This window comes from Homo sapiens, chromosome 1 (genome assembly GCF_000001405.40).
Source record: "Homo sapiens chromosome 1, GRCh38.p14 Primary Assembly".
NCBI classification, from domain to species: domain Eukaryota; kingdom Metazoa; phylum Chordata; class Mammalia; order Primates; family Hominidae; genus Homo; species Homo sapiens.
Window position 1 is genome coordinate 227,785,810 of NC_000001.11, and position 15,341 is coordinate 227,801,150.

The 15,341-nt window shown below is 56.7% G+C and overlaps 1 long non-coding RNA gene across 6 annotated transcripts, besides 6 other annotated features; it reads left to right on the forward strand.

Moving 5' to 3' along the window:
- Window positions 1–1,002: 1,002 nt before the first annotated feature.
- On the forward strand, window positions 1,003–6,378 carry LOC105373289 (uncharacterized). Of its 6 annotated transcripts, none has more exons than NR_168380.1 (2): window positions 1,003–1,342; window positions 3,296–6,378. It is a non-coding gene; the product is annotated as an uncharacterized LOC105373289 (long non-coding RNA). The 6 variants fall into 6 exon arrangements; NR_168381.1 differs by having other exon boundaries at window positions 3,339–6,378; NR_168382.1 differs by lacking the exon at window positions 1,003–1,342 and adding an exon at window positions 1,582–1,658.
- Window positions 2,170–2,389: a silencer, noted in NCBI's record as "silent region_1901". NCBI's record gives its function as "represses an Ori minimal core promoter by ATAC-STARR-seq in GM12878 lymphoblastoid cells {active_cell/tissue: GM12878}" and the evidence as "EXISTENCE:reporter gene assay evidence [ECO:0000049][PMID:35858748]".
- Window positions 2,420–2,769: a silencer, noted in NCBI's record as "silent region_1902". NCBI's record gives its function as "represses an Ori minimal core promoter by ATAC-STARR-seq in GM12878 lymphoblastoid cells {active_cell/tissue: GM12878}" and the evidence as "EXISTENCE:reporter gene assay evidence [ECO:0000049][PMID:35858748]".
- Window positions 6,719–7,382: an enhancer, noted in NCBI's record as "H3K4me1 hESC enhancer chr1:227980229-227980892 (GRCh37/hg19 assembly coordinates)". NCBI's record gives its function as "activates a minimal SCP1, AML or CMV promoter by ChIP-STARR-seq in naive H9 embryonic stem cells {active_cell/tissue: H9 hESC(naive)}" and the evidence as "EXISTENCE:reporter gene assay evidence [ECO:0000049][PMID:30033119]".
- Window positions 8,047–8,710: an enhancer, noted in NCBI's record as "H3K4me1 hESC enhancer chr1:227981557-227982220 (GRCh37/hg19 assembly coordinates)". NCBI's record gives its function as "activates a minimal SCP1, AML or CMV promoter by ChIP-STARR-seq in primed H9 embryonic stem cells {active_cell/tissue: H9 hESC(primed)}" and the evidence as "EXISTENCE:reporter gene assay evidence [ECO:0000049][PMID:30033119]".
- Window positions 8,314–8,482: a silencer, noted in NCBI's record as "fragment chr1:227981824-227981992 (GRCh37/hg19 assembly coordinates)". NCBI's record gives its function as "represses an EF-1alpha promoter that drives an FKBP-Casp9 reporter gene in an ReSE screen in HepG2 liver carcinoma cells {active_cell/tissue: HepG2}" and the evidence as "EXISTENCE:reporter gene assay evidence [ECO:0000049][PMID:32094911]".
- Window positions 10,125–10,325: a silencer, noted in NCBI's record as "peak748 fragment used in MPRA reporter construct". NCBI's record gives its function as "represses an SCP1 promoter by STARR-seq MPRAs in K562 erythroleukemia cells {active_cell/tissue: K562}" and the evidence as "EXISTENCE:reporter gene assay evidence [ECO:0000049][PMID:32103011]".

Genomic DNA, 15,341 nt, shown 5'->3' on the forward strand with positions numbered 1-15,341 from the left:
ACCCCTATCATTGGGCCTTAATGACACCTGCAGAATCCTTTCCAGCCCTTAATTAGTGTTTGACTGAGGGGTTGAGAGAAGCTGCAGTGCACCAGGGCCAGGAGTCTCAGGCATCTTGGGATCCACCGCCCAGCGTTTCCTCCATCCAGAAGTCCATGGGCCAGCCCTCCCTTCTCGCTTACCTGGTCGGGGTGGATGCTTCATCCCTCCATGTACTGTGTGCCAGGCCTCAGGAAAGTACTTCCCGTCTCTGAATGTCTGTCTCTGAATCAATAACGTGGGGATGTCCACACATCCCACGCACAGTTCTGAAGACACAGTGTCCCACCCACTGGGAACCTCACCCCAACCCCGCACGCAGGTCCCAGTGAGTAGGCATTGCCACCTCTCTGCAATTTCTTGTCCCACTCACAGCACATGTCACCACCCGCCACTGCTGCCCTCCTCCCTCAGCTCAGGGGCTGATGGAGATGTACTGATGCCTCTCCTGATGGTCACTTGTGTTCAGACGTCCCACAGAGGTGGTGAGCCTGGGAGACATCCCCTCCTTTCCCCTCCCTTGATGTCTTTGAGGGAGGTGGAAGGCACGCAGCGCACTGTGGAGAGACCTTGCTGCTGAGAAGCACGTGGCACCTGTCATAGGCCCCTCTGGCTGCTACAAGTTCCCGGGCATGGCGGCTGCAGGGTGGCAGCCAGCCCGGAAAGCCAGGATGGGCCAGGGAGGTGTGGCGGCCCACAGCAACTGCAAGCCCCAGGAAAAGAAGGGCTGCTTCTGCTCTGTTGACTTGCTGTGAAAAAGGCCAGCTGGATACAAGCCTCCGACATGGAGATGTTAGAATTTGCTCCACATGTTTTAATTCAGTGGTTTCTATCGGTGGAGTATTTACAGCAGTGAGGTCAGGAGTCCTGTCCAGTACACGGGGCACTGCTGCCGGCCAGCCCGAGAGGGGACGTCATAGTTTGCCCACTGGTCACGAATACGGAACGCTTGATGGGCACCTCAGTCCCAGGGAGGAGACCGCGGGAGAGGCGGCGGGACCAGGGTCCCGGCCTTCAGCGGCTTGCTCCGCACACTCAGGGTTCCCCGGCCCTCTGGCGCTGGGGGAGTTGGGTCGGTTGTGCATGCTGCATGGCCGGAGGCTCGGGGCCAAGGCCACCCTTCCGCACCCACCACTCTGGGAGGCTCCAGAGCGCGGCCCTGAGATAGTGCCACACTCACCCCCTGGAAAGGAGGCAAGGCCGCCCTGGACGGAGGCGACTCGGAGTCCCGGGAGGAAGGAACGGACACACCGGCCTCCCTGCGGAGGAGGGAGAACGTGGTCCCCAGTGGTATCAGGAAGAGGTAAGGCCACTGGTGGGGAGAACTGGGAGCCTTCACTGTGACTCCGAGCAGGGGACCAGGGCCAGAGGTGGGTGTGTGTGGTGTCTCAGGAGGGCGCAGGGCACAGCTAGTCTGAGGGAACCAGGGTGTGGGGCAGGGCCAGCCTGGCAGGCCGCGGTGCCTCTGACTGAAATGCAGTAGACAGAGCAAGACACTGCAGCTTTGCAGCTGCGGAGAGGTGGGCGCTGTTAATAGGCACAGAGAGACGCTGATACTGGCGTGTCCCCAGAAAAGCCAGGGTGCCCGACCTCCACAGAGTCTCTGGGAGCCGGAGAAGGTAGGGGTCTCGGTGTGGCCGGAGCGATTCACTGTCTGGCACCCACGATACCGGTCTCCTTTGCTTTCTTTCCATTTTGCAGCATGAGTGGGAAGGAATCAGAGCGCAGGAGGGAGGAGGGGGGCCCCGCAGAGCCGGGCCGGGACAGGCAGGGCGAGCCCAGCAGAAGCGCGGTCCTGAGGCCGCCGGATTCCGATCCAAGGCCCAGAGTGTCCGCGACAGAGCCGGGCTTCACCGAAAGCACACGCTCAGCGGCCTTCCCGGCGAGCGCGCAGCCCCAGTGAACCTATGGCTCAGCATTTTCAGAAGAAAGCCTGTCGGCATAGACTTTCCGTGATTTCAAAGGAGACGCTTCCAAAACCAAGGTCTTGACCTAGATTTGGAAGCGATCCCTCCAGAGCTTACATTTGGAGACCGGTAGAGACCGGGCCTGTTGGGACAACAGCTCCGAGGGCTACGCTGCGTGGACTAGGTTCCAGACGCGCTCTGAGGAGGCGCCTCCCGGCTAGTTCCTGAGCGCGCTCGAGAGGAGCGTGCCCCGCAGGTGCAGGCGCCGGGACTAGCCAGGGCAGAGCTAGCAGTTCGCCGCGGGCGAGGGAGGGGCTGTGGGTGTGGCCAGGCGGGGGCGGGGTTAGGGCGCGGCCTGGGTGGGCCGTGACGGTGAGCGTGAGCTGGGGTATGCGTAGGGCACGGCCTAGGGGTGAGCACGACACAGGGGCGGGCCTTGGGTGGACGCAGAAGGCGTGGGATGGGAGGGGAGGGAGTGGGTGGGGAGAAGGGCGGGGCCATGGTATGGGTGGCAGGGTGGGCGGGGTCCTGGGTGGGTAGGGGCGGGCGGAGGGCGTGGGAAGCGATGGTTAGGTCCTAGGTGCGGGCGTGATAGTGGGGCTGGGACGAAGTGGGCGGGCCGTGGGTGGGCGCAGAAGGCGTGGGGTGGGGACAGAGGGCGTGTCCGGGCGAAGTGGTCGGCCTGGGACTGGGGTCTGTAGACACCCGCGTTGGGATCTGGGCGGGGCGATCGGCGCGGAAGGAGTGTCGGGCCCGGGGGCGGGAGCAGGGCGTCCAGCGGAGAAGGCAGAGGAGGGGAGATGCGGGCTCCTCCAGGTAGCGCAGGAGCCCCTCCGGCTGCCGGAGCCCCGCGAGGGCGCGAGTGGAGGGCAGGAGCCCGGGCGGCGGAGGAGCGGAAGGGATGCTGCGTTGCCTTGGAGTGTCAGGGTGGGGGAGGAAAGACCAAGGGACCCACGTCCTTCGCCCCCGCCGCGGAGTCCCGGGCCGGCGAGACTTCCGCAGCCTGCCCAGCGCCGGGGACCTAGGGCTTTGCAGGAGTCCGCCCGGGAGCTCTATCAGAGCGGGCGTCCTCCCCGCCGCTCCAAAGGTGGCTTGGGGCAGGTGGGGCGTCCCGGAGGGAATGGAGGGACCCTGCCTAGGGAAGGTGAGTCGTGTGTGGTCGGGTGTGTGTGCACTGCGTGGTGTGTGTACACTCAGGTGTGTGAGTGTAAGTGTGTGCACTGCGTGGTGTGTGTGCGCTCGGGTTTGCTTGTCTGTGGGGGCGGGGCCGTATCCACTGGACACTAAGAACTCTGTTGCTTTCAAGCCCCCATTTGGGGACCATTCTGGATTTTTCACATTTCTTCCAGTCTGGCACATTCCTCCCCAAACACCGGCGTCTTCCCATGGCAGGAGGGATTTCGCTGCCTGTGGGGCTTCAGTGCTGAACCAGGCAGCCCTGAGCAGACCAGGACCGAGCTTCCCAAACCTGACCGGGAAGGAGCCCTGGTTGCATCTGGGATCCACGTGGTCGACAGAGAATCAGCTCGCAGCTCACCACCCCAGTGACTTCAGGGCAGCCCACCTTCCCCTGGCGCTCCTCAAACGAGCCAGGGAGTGGCCCCTGCTCAGACTCCCCTCCTGCCTCCCGGACCCTGCAGGCCTACCCGCCCCAGTTGCCCTTTGCCCTCCTGCAGCCTTCTGGGGGTGCTACATGTCTGAGGCCCGGTCTTCTGTCCTGCTCCTCCTGATGGGGGGTCTGGGCACTCTCCCTAATTCATCGCGAAGACTCTGACACCCAATGCCCGTCTTCAGGCCCCGGCAGATGCAGAGAAGTGGGCTTCACACCCACATCTGCCTGACCTCAGGTGCTGGCTCCTGCAGTCACAGCCCTGAGCCCCGGCCCCTCCAGGCTGTCTCCTGCTTGTCCAGGTGGGCATGAGCTGGTCAGTTCCTGGCCACTGCCCTTCAGACCCCATGCCAGGACTTTGGGTTGGGCTCTGGGCATGGCACTAGCCAGGCCTGGGTGCCTCCTTGAGCAGCTGAGGGCTGGGAGGGATGACAATGTAAGCGGCTATCTGGCTTCAGGCCCAGGCTGGCCATCTGGTGGCCATAGCTCTCACAGGCTGGGCCCCTGCTTCTCCTGGCTCCCCTCTTAGGGGCAGGAGACCCTCAGTGGCCTCACTGCGGACTGCTGGACAGGCCCTGTGTGGAGGCACCATCCGGGTCCGCCATGCCTCGTGGGTCAGAACATCCCTGTGAAGTGCATGGTGTTTTCTGTGGCTGCCACAGGAGGCTCTGGCCAGGGTTGCCCCCCACTGTGGCTCTCATTTTTTTCAAAGCCCAGCTCACCTCCTTCCTGAGCAGCCAATGCCTGCACAGAGCACAGAGCCAGGTGGATTAGGAACCCAGTTGATGAGAAGCAGAGGCCCTTGGTTTAAGCCTGATCTTGTGACAGACAGGAAGCAGAGACCCTCTAAGGGAGCTCAGGCTGCCCAAGGCCACCTGCCCAGCAGGCCCCACAAAGTTCTTCCACTCTAGGAGCACTGCAGCAAGGTTCCCTCTTAGAAACCAAAACAGATGGCTTGACCCCACTCAGGACCTCGAGTGGTCAACCCCTGAGTAGCCCCACTGGGCAAAACCATCTCTGCCCAAGGAAGGCGTCCTTAACTCAATTTTTGCCTTTCCAGGTCTTCTCTGAAAGAGGCCAAACAAGTTTTTAAAAGTTTAAGAAAATCGAACAGAGGAGGAGAAAAATAAAGCCACAAATATGGAATCATGGAATAATGATTCCGTAATAATGGCCCACCATAATTGACGGGCCAATCCCTTTATCCAAGGCATGTGTTGTTTGTTTGTTTGTTTGTTTTGAGATGGAATCTCACTCTGTTGCCCAGGCTGGAGTGCAATGACATGATCTCGGCTCACTGCAACCTCCACCTCCCAGGTTCAAGTGATTCTCCTGCCTCAGCCTCCCAAATAGCTGGGATTACAGACACCCGCCACCACACATGGCTAATTTTTGTATTTTTAGTAGAGACTGGGTTTCACCATGTTGGCTAGGCTGGTCTTGAACTCCTGACCTCAGGTGATCCACCCACCTCAGCCTCCCAGAGTGTTGGGATTACAGGCATGAGCCACCGTGCCCAGCCAAGACATGTATTCTTACGCTTGAGATAGAACAGGTCTACCAGCATTGAATAGAAATCAGGGAGTGCTCACTGTTTGGAAGAGAAGGCAGACAATGAAACTGGGTAGACAGGCGGCTGTGGAGCACGGCTCTGGCCTCTGAGATGCCTGGGGCCAAAGCCAAGGGTGGATAGATCTGTGTTTCTGTGCCTCACAGCATGAACCTAGATAGGTGATGCTTCCTGGGAGAAGCAGGTTTAATCCAGGCACTGCTTTCTACAAAGAGCTGTTCTCAGAGGGCTTCTCTGAGGTCAAGGCAGGGTCTTCTGCCAAGGCATGCTGGGTGGGTGGGGTCCCAGACACCCATGGCTGCAATGAGATTTGCAGGAGATGCAGATCACCTCAGCCCAGTGTTCTTCATAACCTGTCCCAGTGTCTAGGAGCTCCATAACATTCATCCTGTGACCCTAACACTAACCCTGATCCTCTACCTAACACTGACCCTACCAATAACCCTGACACTAACCCTGACCCTAACACTGACTTTAATACTGACCCTACCAGTGATCCTGACATGAACCCTGACCCTAACCCTCACTGTATCGCTGACTCTCACTGTGACACTGTGACCAAGACCCTGACCCTGACCCTAAGTCTAGCCCTAAACCTGATCGTAACACTAACACTGACCATGAACTTGACCCTAACTCTAACCCAGGCTCTAACCCTAACCCAGAACCTGACCTTATGATACTGATACCCTGATGCTGACGCTGACCATAACCCTAACCACCGCCCCAACCCTAACCCTGACCTTATGACCTTATGACCTTGATCCTAACCCTAACTCTGAACCTAACTATGACACTGACTCTAGTCCTGACCATAATTCTGATCCTACTGCTAACCCTAACCTTGACCCTGACCCCCCAACTCACACCCTGACCAGGACCCTAACCCTATGTTTGAACTAAATGTCTTCACGTATTAGGGATGTTTTAAGGTTCTTGTAAGTTTGGATGCATCTTGCTGACTTGCATTATTTATAATTACAAACACAAGCAGCTATGATTGAGCTTTGCAGCAAATGTTTTCCTTCTCTTGACTTCTGGGTCAGTTTAATTAAAATGTGCTTTGCTGTAGAAGTCAAGCTTTTTAAAAAACCATTGAATTTATTGGACAAAACACAATATGTTGTAGCTGAGACCACACGGCCATTCAGAGTCCCAGATTTTGCATTTTTGTATGTATCAAAACAGTCTTGTTATCCTTACTGCCTTTAGAAGTATTCTGCTTGACATACATAAAAATGCATAATTCAAAATACTGATTTCATTTGATTCATTGCCAAAAGTAAGTTTGAAATCCACAAACACATAGACACAGACGCACAGCAGCAGGCAGATGCTGAGAGACCGTCTCAGGCACATGGGATGCACACACAGACACACGGGGAAGCACACACAGACACACGGGGAAACACACACACACACAGCATGTGCACGGAGCACCGTGATGCACAGAACATCTCAGAAAGTAAATATGGAGTTACCAGAAGGTCAGGCTGCTTCCTCAGGTGAAGCACAGAACCCCCCTGCAGGGGCCCTGGGATCTCATTTGTGAGCAGTCCAGGAGAGGCCCTGGCCCAAGCAGGCTCCCTCCAGAGGCCTCAGAGGTCCTGTGGTGCCTACCCTGCAGCCAGGCTCCAGTGCCCCAGATCTCCATGCTTTGTAATCTTCAGTGTCTGGGCTGTCAGAGGCTGTCCTCTCGGGGCCAAATGTGATGTGGGGATCACAGCGGGTACTTTGAGGAGGGGCAGGGTTCGCATTTGGAAACCCCCCAACACACACCGTGTCCAATCTCCTCCCTGTGTCAGGACAGAGGAAGGCTTCGTGGCCCAGAGGCCTGTCCAGGCTGGGGCACCACGTGCTCTTTGGCATGTCTCTCCCTCCACAGGCCTCCATTTCCCCATCTGTGCAGTGGGGATGTCAGCGGCCCAGCAGAGGGAGCTGCTGCTGCTCAGGCCCTTGTGCGTGAGTGTCCAGCATCTGGTGGAGGGGCAGGGCCGAGGGTCTGAGCGGGGCTCTGGAGACTCTCAGGGCTGTGTCCTCGACCTCTCCCACTGTGAATGCTGAGAGCCACACGGACCCCGCAGCTGAGGCTGGGTGTCTGCTGGCTGTGTCTGGGGAAGCCCAGAGCCTTCAAGCTGCCCAGCCAACCTCAGGCCACAGAAACCTAGCCTGGGGAGGGGATCCTGGGTTGCTGCCCCAGCTGGAGGCAACTCAGGGACACACAGGCCCCAGGGGTTGACCACAGGCTCCTAAGCCAGGGCCTTAGCCGATCATAGGTGCTCCAGGGGCCTCTGCTCCAGAGCATGGGTCTGGGAGCCGAAGCCCTCCACCTCAGGGCTGTGCCAGGCCTCGCAGGGGTCAAGGGCCTCTGTGGCATCTCTGGCAGGCACAGCTCACCCCAACCCATGGCAAATGCTCTGCTGGAGACAGAGGCACAGCCTGATGTGGGTGATCCCCCTGCATGGGGCTGTCTCCCTGCCCCAGGGGCCTGTGCTCACGGGGGTGCAGGGTCCCATAAACTTCCCAAGGTAGATCCCACACCAGCAGGAGCCTCTTCCAAGGAGGCTGGGAATCAGGGCCTGGGCCCCTCAAAGGGTCCTGGGAAGTCCTGGTCACTCCAGCATGACCTCCTGCACAAGTGACCGAGTGTGCCACCCACTGCTCTCCCGATGCTGGGCCAGGGCAGCCCAGCCTCCAGCCAGCTGCACGGAAGAGGGATTGGGAGAGCAAAGCTGGGGCCGCTCAAGTCAGGGCTGGGCTGCCCCAGGGTCCTGGGGACTTCTGCCCTTCCATTTTGCTTGGCAGGCCCTGTGGTGCTAGGGGATGGGAGGTGGCCTGAGGGGCTATCTTCTCAAATGCCCCAGAGCTCGGAGCCTACTGTGCTGGGATCAGCCAGTACTTGGCCCTGGGAGGAAGACAGGCAGCCCTCATGCCTTCCGAGGAGGCCTGAGCCAAAAGCCAGCATCCCTGGGAAGCCAGGCCATGGGAGGAGACCTCTCTCCAAACAGGTCTCCTGCTGGAAGCCACATCCCAGCCGCACTTCCCAGGAGTCCCCCCAGCCCTCTGGGGCCAAGAGAAGTCAGGAGCCATGCTGCCTGCGGCTGCTGGGCTGGAATGTGGGATGAGGGACTGGGATCAGGTTTCCTCCCCTGCCTGACTTGCTCATTTCAGGAGGGGAGCTGGGCCCTACTCTAATCAGGACCAGCTGTGCTGGCTGGGGCAGTGGGGGATGTGCCTGCGGGGAGAGCAGGGCCCTGCACTCCCTCCTGGCTCCCAGGAAATCCCCAGGAAGCTCTTACGGTGGGAGAAACTGAGGCCTGGGGTGTGGAGCTGCAGCACACCCCTGTCCAGCCACACAGGGCCCTGCCCTGAGAGAAGCTGGCTGCCCCAGCTTCCCCAGCACCCAGTGCCATCAGAGCTGGTTCTGTGCCTCTTGGCAGCAGGGGGCAGGGGCATCGCCCACTGGGATGCTCCTCAGGCCAGCTCCAGAGGGCCGTCCCAGGAACATGACAGCTGTGGCGAAGGGAATTTCATACTGGGAGCCCCCCGGCACCCCAGCCATTGCAGAGGGAGGATCTAGCCATGTCTGGGCTGCTGGGCCAAATTCCACCACACCAGCTTGGGCACAGGACCAATGCCGTGGGCGGCCACGGCTCTGCAGGAGCTGGAAGTCAGGCTGGCCTCCAGTCAGGGAGCCGAGGTGGGTGGGCCCACTGGGTGCTGGGGAGGAGACAGAGATCAGTTCCACTTTGGCTGAGACTTACAGAGAGGCTGGGCCCTGGACTGGGGGATCACAGAGGGTGAGAGGGGCACTGTGGCTGGCTCAGGGCTGAGGGGTGGTGTGGCCCTGGCAGGAGGGTCCCTGGCAGGACACAGAGGGTAGCTGGGAAGGTCAGGCATTGGGGCAGGAGCTGCAGGGCCCAGCGCCAAAGGAAGCAGTGTGCTCAGACACCTGCGCTCCAGACCCCAGGGGCTTCTCTAGGCAGGGATCCTCCAGGCCACCCAGCAGCCTCACACCGCGCCTCACACTGCTGTTCTCCTATGAGGGGCAAAGAGGGTTGGAGGAAGACACCTTGGGACAGGCCCAGCTGTGGGGAGGGGCAGCAACACACAGGCGGGGCTGGGCCCCAGGGCAGGTCCCTTCTCGATAGACCAGGCTGCCTTCCAAGCCAGCGGGCAGCACAGGCACCGCAGCCTCGCCAGGGCCCCGGCAGGTGTCCTCCCACGACCTCCTGAACTCCTCTTTCCCTCAGGAGGTGCCCCCAACCCCTCCTTCCCACAGGAGCCGCCCCCCCAGCCCCGCCTTCCCTCAGGAGCTCCCCCCACCACCCCCGGCTTCCCTCAGGAGGTGCCCCCCACCCCCTCCTTCCCTCAGGAGCTCCCCACACTAGTTCCTCCTTCCCTCAGGAGCTCCCTCCACCACCCCCTCGTTCCCACAGGAGCTCCCCCAACCCCCTCCTTCCCACGGGAGCTCCCCCCACCCTCTCCTTCCCACGGGAGCTCCCCCCAACACCCTCCTTCCAGGGGAGCTCCCCCAACCCCCTCCTTCCCACGGGAGCTCCCCCAACCTCCTCCTTCCCTCGTGAGCTCCCTCCACCACCCCCTTCTTCCCACGGGAGCTCCCCCCACCCACTCCTTCCCACGGGAGCTCCCCCAACCCCCTCCTTCCCACGGGAGCTGCCCCCACCCCCTCCTTCCCATGGGAGCTCCCCCAACCTCCTTCCTTCCCTCGGGAGCTCCCTCCACCACCCCATCCTTCCCACGGGAGCTCCCCCCACTCCCTCATTCCCACGGGAGCTCCCTCCACCACCCCCTCCTTCCCACGGGAGCTCCCCCCACTCCCTCATTCCCACGGGAGCTCCCCCAACCCCCTCCTTCCCTCGGGAGCTCCCCCAACCCCCTCCTTCCTCAGGAGCTCCCCTACCCCTTCCTGGCCTCTGGTGCAGAGCAGACCTGGGGCTCTGGTCTGAGGGGGGGCCTTGGTGGCCTGGGACCTGGGGACACTCTGGGAGCTCCTTGCACACAGGAACATGAGCTCCAGCGCCTCAGCAGGGCCCCTGGTGTAGGAGCAGAGCTGCTTCCCAGGGATCGTATCTCAGCTGGACACGGGGACTCAGCTCTGCTGGGATTTGGACTGTGGGCACTGTGTGGCCTTTAGAGCTTCTAGCCCATCCTGAGGGAGGCCAGTGACTGGTAAGACATTCTGGGCTCTCGGAGCCTGCACAGCTCAGGGACAGGTATTCTGGCCTAGAGGTCAAATACCAAAGCCCCTCACATCCTATCCATACACCATCCACCCATCCAATGCAGGGGTTTATCAGTGGTCTCACATACAGGGCACAGTTGCCACGGGACTGCAGAGTTGGGTGGACAAACCCCTCAACATTCCCATTCCTCTCTCAAAGTCCTTCCAAACAGAAGCCACTGTCACCCACAGGGCCTGATCTAGAACTCCCTGCTAACCCCCAGGCCCACTCTAGAACTCCCTGCACCCCCAGGCCCTCTCTGGAACCCCCTGCCATGTACCTGCAATGTGCCCTGCATGGCGCATGGTGGGCTGGTTACTCACAGCAGCTGCCCAAACTCCCCTTGGGCCTACTGCCGGCCCCACCCACAGTCCCATCCCCTCCTGGACACAGCCCTCTCCAGCCTCATCTGTCAACGGGGAGCCCTGATGGGCTGCAGAGCAGGAGGAGGTGGGTCCCTGAGGAGTGCTTGGACGACCCCAGGGGTGGCTGGTGGTATGGGCTGGTGGTAGGCCTGACGAAGCATGTTCTATGTAAGGGGCTGGGTGGAGGTGTCAGGTGCACCTAACTCAAAAAGTCTGGAACTGTGCTCAGTGACCAGGGGGCCTAGCCCAGGCTGTCTCTGTAGCAAACCCCATCATCCCAAGAGAGATCCAGGAGCACCTCCCATAATCCTTCCTCCAAAGGGACCATGAAACCCTCCAGCATGCAGCTGCCCCCACCTCACCCTCCTGGGGTTGGGAATGTACCTTCTCACCCCACCTCGAGGCCTGGCCTGCTGCAGCCCCCATTCCCCCTTGGCTCTGTCGAGCATCCGGGCTTCAGGCTGTCCCAGCTCAGACCAGCCTCTCCTCTGCCTCAGTTTCTCTGTCTGTGATGGCCTTACAAGCTTCTTTCTGCCCAGCTGAAAATGGGGTGGCATATGGTGAGTGGCCAGCAGACACCCAGGATGGGTCAGGTGGCTCCAGACACAGCAGGGGTGGTGCCAGGACCACAGCCTCACTTCTCCAGCATCCTCCATCCACAGACAGGAAGCCCTGGGCAGCCCAAGTAGCTGCTGTGGCCTGGGGGCCCCAGGACCACTGACCCCACTCCACTCTTCCACACAGGTGGGGGCTGTGAGAGCCTCGAGGGAAAGAGGACACAGGAGGAAGGTGGGTGCGGTGATGGCTCAGGGACCACCTGCAGCTCCAGCTGGCCTGGATAATGGCAGGGTCTGTGGGGCAATGGCCCTGCTACAGGACTGGGGCCGCTTTGCTCCTGAATGCTCACCTGCCCAGGTAAGTTTACACAGAAGCCTCCTCACCCACCCACAAGAAAGAAGCAGATGTCCCTGTGAGGGTAGGGGTAGGCACAAAATCACAGATGACTGTAGGAAATTTCCAAGGAGATGAAAACATTCTGTGTCTTTGCTGGGGAGATAAACACAGGCGTGAGTAAATTTGTAGAATATCATTAAACTGTACCCAAAGAATGTATGCATTTCAAAGTATGTGATTCAAAAAGGCAGTAGAAAACAAATCAATTAAAAGGGTAAATGTGGGCCGGGTATAGTGGCCCATTCCTGTAGTCACATTGCTTTGGGAGGTGAGGTGGGAGGATGGCTTGAACCTGGGAGTGGGAGGATGCAGTGAGATGTGATCACACCACTGCACTCCAGCCCGGGTGACAGAACAAGACCCTGTCTCAAAAAAAAAAAAAAAAAAAAAAAAAAGCAGGAGGCAGAAGGGAGGCAGTAAATTCACCCACATATTTGAGTCTAATTACCTGGCCAGTGGCATAAGGGGAACAGCCAGACTACAGCACCCAACAGATCCAGAAGGTGACCGTGATCCAGATTCCTTAGCAATTTATGTGACCCAACGCAACTGGATTCTTGTAATCGCTAACAAAATCCAAAGGAATGAGGATGACATATTCACTAGATGGAACATGAAGACACAAAGAGAAGAGAAATGCCCCTTTTGGACCTCTGTGATCACTGTAGTGGGACCAGGGCCATGTGGCTGCGTTGCTTTCTCTCTGGGCCATCCCTCAGAGGGACCTGGGTCCTGGGAGCTCTGGCTTCAGTGGAGCCATGCGTGATGCTCTAGGCCTGTCCCGCTTTGAAGCTTGGGAGGCATCTAAGATGCCACAGGAGCTTCGTGCCTCTGAGTGGGGCCTTGCTGGGCAGCTGTGCACCTGGACAGCAGGGTGTCTTCCGTTTCTGGCAGTAGGCTCTGTGGATCCCATTCACTTCTAACGTGAAGGCTGTGTGACTCTCCCTGACCCCAGATTCTGAGATTAAAGCCAGTTTGTGTGATAGAGGGTCACACGAGACATAGAGATCACAAGGCATCTGTCCTAACACCGTGTGGGGTCCGTGTAGGCAGCTTTCTTGCCGTGTGCCTGCTGATCATGTGGAAGACGCCCAACACGTGGCATCTGCTGCAGGTCCAGCTGGGCGAATTTTGCTGAATCCAGGTAGACACCACACCACGGGAGATTGCACCAGGTCTTCAAAGATTACAGACAAAAGCAGGTGGCTTGCACCAAACTCTCTGGAAGACTCTGGAGATGACGTGGCCATTGTCAAGATGAGGACCTTGAAGACGGATTTGTCCCTGTGGTCTGTTAAAACAGAGACCATAGACTGACAGAACAAACTTTTTGTGGCAGAAGGTGCCAAATTGTAAACAAAACCTAAGACCCTGCCAGGCAAGGAGTTAAGTCACACAACCCTACACTTAAAGAATAAACTGTGTTCTGGCTGTGCTACAAGGGTTTTCTTTTTTTCCAGCAGCCAATCAAGCACTGGCCTTGAGCTAAGCAACATTAAGACAATTGCAGTTCATCCAGCTCACAGAGGCTGACTCTCCGACCTCCTGCTCCACCAGCCATGACTGCAGCGTTCAATGGATGGGACACTGACTTCAGGAGCTTTCTCCTGATGAGAGACCACGACTACGAACTGGTTCTGGCCAGTTTACAGAGGCTGTGCACTTCCACACCATCATGTCCCTGCTTCACCTTTTGATATCTAGAGCCTAACTGTAGCACATTTAAATGTTAAGTCTCAACCCCAAAGTGAACATGCACTGTATGTTACATGCATGTTTGTTCAGTATGCATGTGTGTGTCCCCCCCACCGCAAGAATTTGTGAATCTTCATAGTTCCTCCTGTAACCTGTCCAGTATGTATGCTTGTCCAACCATTCAGTGTCTTTGTTTTGAAATGTCTAGGTACCTGCAGGGAGCCGCAGCTGTAGTACTCAGAGTCCCCATTGCCCTTCAACCTCCCCAATCATGACATCTTATCTAACTGTAGAGTACAATGCAGACAACTTTACTGCAGACCTTATTCGGTTTTCAGCCTTTTTTAAAACCTTCGTCCTTGCGTGTGTGTGTGAACACATCTAGTTCTATGCCACTGGATCCTGTGTGGAGATTCTTGGAACCACCACTGCCACCAGGATACAGAACAGCTCTGTCACCTCCAAGGAGCTCTTACACCACTGTGTAGAGTCATGCTGCCCCAAAAATCCACTTCTCCATAAAGCAATGACAAATATTGTCAAAACCAATTTTTCAGAACTCTGGAAGTTAATCAAAAGTTTGCCAAAACCCAAGGAGTATTTAGTAAAGAAAAACATATAAAAAGGATTATATACCATAACGAAGTGGAATTTACAGCATATCAGAAAATATTGCCTAATCCAAAATCATGAAGATTTATTCATGTTTTCTTCTAAGAGTTCTACAGTTTTAGCTCTTACATTTAGATTTATGATTTTTTTCTCCCTCCTTCCTTCCTTCCTTCCTTCCTTCTTTCCTTCCTTCCCTCTTTCCTTCCTTCTTTCTTTCTTTTTGTTTGTTTTTGAGATGGAGTCTCACTCTGTCACCCAGGCTGAAGTGGCACAGTCTCATCTCACTGCAGCCTCTACCTCCTGGGTTCAAGCAATTCTCATGCCTCAGCCTCCTGAGTAGCTGGCATTACAGGTGTGTGCCACCACGCCCAGCTAATTTTTGTATATTTAGTAGAGACAGAGTTTCACCATGTTGGCCAGGCTGGTTTCGAACTCCTGACCTGAGGCTATCTGCTCACCTTGGCCTCCTAAAGTGCTGGGATTACAGGCATGAGCCACCATGCCCTGCTCTTTCTATCTTTCATTTGCCTCCACCCTCCCCCAGCCCCCCTCCTTCTCCTTCTCCTTCTTCTTCTTCTTTCTTCTTTCTTCTTCTTCCTCTGTCACCCAGGCTGGAGTGCAGTGGTATGATCATGGCTCACTACAGCCTTGAACTCCCAGGCTTACACAATGCTCCCACCTCAGCTTCCTGAGTAACTGGGACCACAGGCACGTGCCACCACACCTGGATATATATATATATATATATATATATATATATAAAATATATAGTATATATATAAAAATATAGTGTATATATAAAATATATAGTATATATATAAAAAATATAGTGTGTATATATATAAAATATAGTATATATATATAAAATATAGTGTGTGTGTATATATATATACACACCCACACATATATGTGTATATATGTGTATATATATACATTTTTTTTGAGATGGGGTCTCGCTATGTTGCCCAGATTGATCTCAAACTCCTGGGATCAAATAATCCTCCCACCTCAGCCTCCCAAAGTGCTGGGATTGCAGGTGTGAGCCACTGTGCCCGGCCTATGATCCCTTTTAAGTTTTCTGTGTGGTGTGAGGTGGTGTTCAACTTCATTAGTTTGCAGCTAAGCATCCAGTCATCCCCAGCAACATTTATTGAAATGGCTATTCTTTCCTAATTGAATTGTCTTGACTGTAAATATGAGGGTTTATTTCTGGATCCTTAATTGTATTCCATTGACCTCTATATGTATCCTTATGCCAATACCAACAGACAGCCAATGCTGTCTTTGTGTAACTTTGTAACCTTGAAATCAGGAAGTGTGAGTCTTCCAACTTTGTTCTTTATA